Here is an 8,197-nt window from a genome sequence, read left to right on the forward strand (position 1 = left end):
AATTAGCCTGGTGTAGTGGCATGCACCCATAGTCCTAGCTACTTGGGAGGCTGAGGCAAAAGGATCAGCCCAGGAGTTTGAGGTTGCAGTGAGACATAATTGGGCCCCTGCACTCCAGCCTGGGTGACAGAGAGAGACGCTGTATCAAAAACAAATACAGAAACAAACAAACAAAAAATAAAAACAATTAAATAGTTGGTTCTGGGAAGAGGCTTCCTACAAAAAGAAAAAAAAGAGGAAAAAAAAAAGTTAGAACCATGCTGTCCATCAATATGATTGGCAGTCCACTATACTAATCAATGGACTTATTTACATTTGAATCTCTCTTCCTTTTTCCCCTTTTTTTTTTTTTAAGACGAAGTCTCGCTCTTGTCCCCCAGGCAAGAGTGCAATGGCGTGATCTCGGCTCACTGCAACCTCCCTCCACCTTTCAGGTTCAAGCGATTCTCCTGCCTCAGCCTCCCAAGTAGCTGGGATTACAGGCATCTGCCACCACGTCTGGCTAATTTTTGTATTTTTAGTAGAGACGGGGTTTCACCATATTGGTCAGGCTGGTCTCGAACTCCTGACCTCAGGTGATCTGCCCCCCTCCGCCTCCCAAAGTGCTGGGATTACAGATGTGAGTCACTGCGCCTGGCCTCTCTTCCTTATTTTGTATAGTCTTTTGGAGACTTTTTCCTTTAAGATTTTTCTCTGCTCGACACAGTGGCTCATGCCTGTAATCCCAGCACTTTGGGAGGCTGAGGCAGGAGGATTGCTTGAGCCCAGGAGTTTGAGACCAGCCTGGGAACAAAGTAAGACCCTGTCTCTACAGAAAGTACAAAAATTAGCCAGGTGGCTAATTTTAGTGGTTTGTACCTGTAGTTCCAGCTACTCCAGAGGCCAAGGTAGGAGGATCATTTGAGTTGAGGAGGTTGAGGCTGCAGTGAACCAAGGTCATGCCACTGCACTCCAGCCTGGGTGACAGAGTGAGACTTCATCTCTTAAAATTTTGTTTCTTTATTATTTTGTTTATACAAGTTACATATACCTATTGTAACAAAAAATGAGAAGTATGAAAAAACTAACAAAGAGAAAAACTACACAATGTTACTACCCAGAGACACACAGAGACCATTAACACAATGGCCTGTTTCCTCGGATAATTTTTTTATTTTTTATTTTTTTTAAGACAGAATTTCACTCTGTCGCCCAGGTTGGAGTGCAGTGGCATGATTTTGGCTCACTACAACCTCTGCTTCTCAGACTCAAGCGATTCTCCAGTCTCAGCCTCTCGAGTGGTTGGGACTACAGGTGGGAGCCACCAACACCCACCTAATTTTTGTATTTTTGGAGAGACAAGGTTTCACCACATTGGCCAGGCTGGTCCAAACTCCTGAGTTCAAAGCAATCCACCCGCCTTGGCTTCCCAAAATGCTGGGATTACAGGCATGAGCCACTGTGCCCGGCCTGGAGAAATTTTTCAAGCCTACTTTTTTATTTCTGCCTGCCCTGCTTAGATGCTTTTTGTTTTTTCCTTCAGTATTTTTGCTAACAAAAGAGAATCCTTGTTGTGACCCTTCTGAATGTGAATAAAACCTCCCAGCTGCTGACTGTCATGTAATCCCAGCACCTGGGGAGGCAGAGGCTGGATGATCACTTGAGGCCCTGAGTTCAAGAACATGAACATAGTGAAACCACATCCCTACAACCCCTGCTTCCCAGACTCAAGCGATTCTCCAGCCTCAGCCTCTCGAGTGCTTGGGACTACAGGTGACTCTATAGTAGGTGCACAGGAAAAGTTTGTTTATTAAATATGACTGATTATTTCCAGGGACCTAATGAATTCATTCTTGCCTAACTGGCCCTATTCATCAGCTAAATCACATGAGATATGAAATTAAATGTACTTTAGAAAGTCCACCACACTATGAAAATGTTAGTAAGTATGGCTTTAACAGTTACTCAGCACTAAGGATGAAGAAGCTAATGTAAAGGAGATGAAAGTTGCTGAACTCACCTCTCTTTCTTGCCAGTACAGTTGTAAAGGATCAGCTCTGGAAAGCCATGGGACCCCAAACTATTCTGAAAACCAAGCTTATGCATTTGGTTTCCACATTATATGTCACCTAAACCTACTCAAATTCTCTATTAAGGACTGAGAAAATAGCCCTTACTTTATGTACAATAAAATTTGGGGTTCTAAATTTCTAATTCTTGTCTTTTATTTAAGTTCCCACACAAAGCCTCACATCCAGTTTTTGCAGCACCTCCACTGTTTCAGCATATCCTTTTCAGATCATTCACCAGACAGCGTCCTACAGCTCTCATTCATAAAGTCCAATTATAAGACAAGAAATGTCAGGAATATACACTTTGAGAGTGGGAGGCAAACAGAACAGTACATTGTAACTTTGTAAGAACAGCCATGCATTTCCTCTGGGCTTGTTTTCAGTTCCTTTGTCAGCTGATTACATGGTCTTTTATAATTTCTCATGTACAGAATGAAGCTATTTGCTTGTGGATTATTTGAAAGACACAGGCTTATGCAAAAGAAAAACGAAATCATCATGAGGTAGAATGATATTTCTGACTTGCTTTTTTTTCTTTTCTTTTTCTTTTTTAACACAATATGACTACACAATTTAAAATTGTGGCTCTTTAGAGATATGAAACAAGTAAATATTCTGTTAATTCAATCTTAATGTATATGTAATGCTATATATGTATTTGTTTTTCATATAATTGCCTTTATCAATAATATTATTTATGTTTATATAAAGAAGAATGCTGTCTTACATTTTGTTTTCAAAGCACACAAATTTTCTAGGCACACGCATTGTGCTGCTTAATTCCTACGTTTCCTTTAGTTGTTCAGGACAGTACTTTACAGTTTAGAAAGTGGTTTCATATACATTATGCTACTTAATTCTCATAATACTCCCCCAATGTAAAACTAGTCAAAGTACTTTGGGCTTTAAATCTTGTCTGTGGCTTTATGCTTCTATCCAGCCCCGTAAGTTTCCTCTTTCCTCTGGTGTATATCCTTTACTTGCTTATCTTTAGAGACTTAGCTCATGGTCACCTCCTCTATGAAGCCTTTCCCCAATAAAATAAGTGACCTCCTCTCTCACTGTATCCCTTCACTGCTCTATAGATAATGCTTTTAAGGAAAGGTTTTTAAAAATCTAGTTATTTTTAAAATTCACGTAGCATATTCTATTTATTTATTTATTTATTTTTGAGGCTGAGTCTTGCTCTGTGGCCCAGGCTGGAGTGCAGTGGTGTGATCTCGGCTGACTGCAACCTCTGCCTCCTGGGTTCAAGAGATTCTCCTGCCTCAGCCTCCCAAGCAGCTGGGACTACAGATGCCCACGACTACAGATACCCACCACCACACCCAGCTAATTTTTGTACTTTTAGTAGAGATGAAGTTTCACCATATTGGCCAGGCTGGTTTCGAACTCCTGACCTCGTGATCCACCTGCTTCGGTCTCCTGAAGTGCTGGGATTACAAGTGTGAACCACTGCGCCCAGCCCAACAGCCCAACATAGCATATTCTTAGAAAATTACTATAATAATCTCTTAGGCTTGTGAGTCAATAATCACTCCAAAATAAAAAGTTAAAAACAAACATGTATGTCAAGCAAATATGTCAGCATATACAGATCTTCCAGATCACTTTAAAATACCATATATGAATAGTATTTCACACCATGAGTGTTGTATACCCACACTGTTCAGTAGAACTTTCTGTGATAATGGAAATGTTCCATATCTGTACTTTCCACTATGGTCATCACCAGCCTCAGGTGGCACTTGAAATGTGAATAGTACAAATGAAGAACTAAATTTTTGATTTTATTGAATTTAAATTTAAATAGTCAAATGTGGCGTGGCTTGTGGTTACCATGTGGTACAGCAGATTTATGCTTTAATCTATTGATAGTCATTTAAATTGTTTCCAATCCCCTCCCCCGCTCCACACTCAGTACAAGCAAACTAAGTGTTATCTAGTAAAGTAAACCATGAGAACAAAAAGGAATTTTTTATCCCTTCTTATATGTATTAACTCTCTAGAAGCCTGTATTCATTCTAATGCTGCCCCCTTTGAAGTTCTACATGAACTTACTGAATCAGGTAGGTAAAAGGACATTTATAGTAAAGGTATTTCCTATATGAAAGAATGATTTAAAATGTGCAGCAAATAAAAATATTTTTCAAAAAAGGAAAAGATGCAATAATTTTTTTTTGAGACAGAGTCTCACTCTATCACCAAGGCTGGAGTACAGCGGCGTGATCTCAGCTCACTGCAACCTCCACCTCAAGTGGTTCAAGTGATTCTTCTGCCTCACCTCCTGAGTAGCTGGGATTACAGACGTGCACAGTCATACCTAGCTAATTTTTGTATTTTTAGTAGAGATGAAGTTTTGCCATGTTGGCCAGGCTGGTCTCTTAACTCCTGGCCTCAAGTGATCTCCCTGCCTCGGCCTCCCAAAGTGTTGGGATTACAGGAAAAATTATTTAATGCCAGCATTGATTATAGCAGTAAAATATTGGAATCAATTGAATATCTAACCATGGAGAGTTGGTTCCAATATTTTATTTTATTATTTTTTTTGAGACAGGGTCTCACTCTGTTCCCCAGGCTGGAGTGCAATGGCACAATGACAACACACTGCAGCCTCGACCTCCCCAGGCTCAGGTGATCCTCCCACCTCAGCCTCTCAAGTGTCTGGGATCACAGGCACACACCACCACACTTGGCTATTGTTTTTGTATATTTTGTAAAGACAAGGTTTTCTCATATTGCGCAGGCTGGTCCAATATTTCATGATCCTTCATACAATGGAGGGCAATATTGTCATTGGAAATGACAATGATTGCAATTTATTAACATGAAAACAAGCCTATGATATATTTTCAAGTGAAAAAAATACAAAACAGGCTGGGTGTGGTGGCTCATGCCTGTAATCCCAGCGCTTGGGGAGGCTGAGGCAGGTGGATCACTTGAGGTCAGGAGTTCGGGACCAGCCTGGCCAACATGGTGAAAGCCCATCTCTACTAAAAATATAAAAATCAGTCAGGCATGGTGGTGTGCCAGGAGTCCCAGCTAGGTGGGAGGCTGAGGCAGGAGAATGGCTTGAACCTGGGAGGCGGAGGTTGCAGTGAGCCAAGATTGCACCACTGCACAGCCTGGGTGACAGAGCAAGAATCTGTCTCAAAAAAACAAAACAAACAAAATACAAAACAGATTTCAAACCAAAAAAGATCAAAAAAGGCAAAGAAGGGCATCCCATAATGGTAAAGGGTTCAATTCAACAAGAAGACCTAACAGTCCTAAATATATATGCACCCAATACAGGAGCACCCAGATTCATAAAGCAAGTTCTTAAAGACCTACAAAGAGACACAGATTCCCACATAATAATAGTGGGAGACTTCAACACTTCACTGACAGTATTAGACAAATCATTGAAGCAGAAAATTAACAAAGACATTAAGGACCTAAACTCAACATTTGACCAAGTGGATCTGATAGACTTTTACAGAACTCTCCACCTAAAAACAACAGACTATACATTCTTCTCATCACCACGTGGCACATGCTTTAATATCGACCACATAATTGGACATAAACAACCCTCAGCAAATTAAAAGAACTGAAATCAGGCTGGGCGCGGTGGTTCACACCTGTAATCCCAGCACTTTGGAAGGCTGAGGTGGGTGGATCACCTGAGGTCAAGGGTTCGAGACCAGGCTGGCCAACATGGTGAAACCCCAGTAATATTAACTACTTGAGAGGCTGAGGCAGGAGAATCACTTAATCCTGGGAGGGGGAGGTCGCAATGAGCCGAGATTGTGCCACTGCACTCCAGCCTGGGTGACAGAGCAAGACTCTGTTTAAAAAAAAAAAAAAAAAAATCATTCTACCATGAAGATACATGCACACAAATATTCATTATAGCACTATTCACAATAGCAAAGACATGGAATCTACCTAAATGCCCATCAATGGCAGATTGGAAAAAGAAAATGTGGTACATATACACCATGGAAAACTATGCAGCCATTAAAAAAATGAGATCATATCTTTTGTGGGAACGTGGTTGGAGCTGGAGGCTATTAGCCTCAGGAAACTAACACAGGAACAGAAAACCAAACAGCTCATGTTCTCACTTATAAGTGGGAGCTAAATGAAAGAACTTATGAACACAGAGGTGGGTGGATCACTTGAGGTCAAAAGTTCAAGACCCTCCTGGCCAACATGGTGAAACCCATCTCTATTAAAAATACAAAAACTAGCTGGGCGAGGTAGCAGGCACCTGTAATCCCAGCTACCTGGGAGGCTGAGGGAGGAGAACCGTTTGAACCTGGGAGGTGGAGGTTGCAGTGAGCCGAGATTGTGCCATTGCACGCCAGCCTGGGCAACAGAGCGAGACTCGGTCTCAAAAAAAGAGAACTTAAGACACTGGAGTCTACTTGAGTGGGGAGGGAGGGAGGAAGGAGAGGAGCAGAAAGGATAACTATTGGATACGGATTTAATACCTGGATGATGAAATAATATGTACAACAAACCCCGGGACGTGTGTTTACCGATGTAACAAACCTCCATATGTACCCCCAAACCAAAAATAGAAGTTAAAAAGATGAAAAAAAGTTACTAAATAATATGCATAATATGGATCTTTTTTCATAAACATATGTGTGCATGTATAAATTTTTGTTTAGTGGTGAGTCAGTATAGCTGGCTGAGAACATAAACTTTTGAGTCAGACTGATCTGGGTTCGAATCTAGGCCCTGCCACATATCATCTACGTGATTTTGGATATATCTCTAACCGTTCTGAATTTTGGTTTCCTCATTGCTAAAATTGGTTGATAAATTTACATCTGAGGGTTGATGTTTAAGTAATGTATGTAAAACAATTGGTGCATATGTAGTGCTTAATTATTGGTAGTTGTTTTTCTAAGACGAGTATGAATGGGCATGGAAAGAAGAATGATATTTACCAATCGGTTGAAAGCGATTGTTTCTGGGTTGTAAAGTCATTGTTGAATTTGTGTTATTGTTTAATTAAATGGATCAATGACTTCTTAAATATGAAAAAAAATCCATAAAAATTATGTGAATATAAAACTAAAAAAGTCAGCAAACCCTGTATGTTCTAATGTAGAAATATGCCAAGATACTACATTGCAGAGCAGTATAGTTAATGCAATCCTATTTGTGTTCAACAACCTTTTTTTGGTAAAGAAATATAAGGTTACCCTTGAGAAGTAACTCTGGATGATCTAGCAAGGAGCAGCAAAAAAAAATCTTTTTTCATTCATGCTTTTTGATACTAAGTTTTTACTGTGATTTTCTCGTATTAAAATTTTTTTTTATTATTAAGTAAGTCCTGTAAGACCTGGAAAGAGAAAGATAAATAAGTTGCCTTTCACTTACTTCTATCTTTGCCCAATCTGAAGAAATATCGTTTTCAAAGGCATAAGGAGGATTCTGAAATTTCTTCAATATTGGCAAATTTCTAATTCAGTTGAAGACTGTGACAATTCTGCCATTGTATGTAATTTCTTATTTTCTCAACTAAAATACTATCAATATTTATTGAACATTTATTAAGATAAAAGCAAGAAAGATGAGTAAGAATAATTTTATTAGAAAAGAGAGTTAATCTTTCACCATTTTATTATATTGAACAGCACTACAGAAAAATAAATATGGCACTCCACTCATGTCTCTTTGGCCTCTTGTCATAATTGTCTACTTTTTTTCCCTCGATGTAACATTTTATACAAGCTCAAAGAACTTTAAAACACTATTTTTCCTTAATACAGGAGTAATAGTTGCTCATTATAAAAAAGAAAAAAGAAAAAAGAGGCTGGGCGCAGTGGCTCATGTCTATAATTCCAGCACTTTGGGAGGCCAAGGCAGGAGGATCACCTGAGGTCAGGAGTTTGAGACCAGCCTGACCAACATGGAGAAACCCCGTCTCTACTAAAAATACAAAATTAGCCTGGCATGGTGGCACATGCCTGTAATCCCAGCTACTCGGGAGGCTGAGGCAGGACAATTGCTTGACCTTGGGAGGCGGAGGTTGTGGTGAGCCGAGATTGCGCCATTGCACTGTAGCCTGGGCAACATGAGCAAAACTCCATCTGAAAAAAAAAAAAAGAAAACATCTATAATGCCACCCCATTGAAAATCACCGT

This window comes from Homo sapiens, chromosome 3 (genome assembly GCF_000001405.40).
Source record: "Homo sapiens chromosome 3, GRCh38.p14 Primary Assembly".
In the NCBI taxonomy this organism is placed as follows: Eukaryota; Metazoa; Chordata; class Mammalia; order Primates; family Hominidae; genus Homo; species Homo sapiens.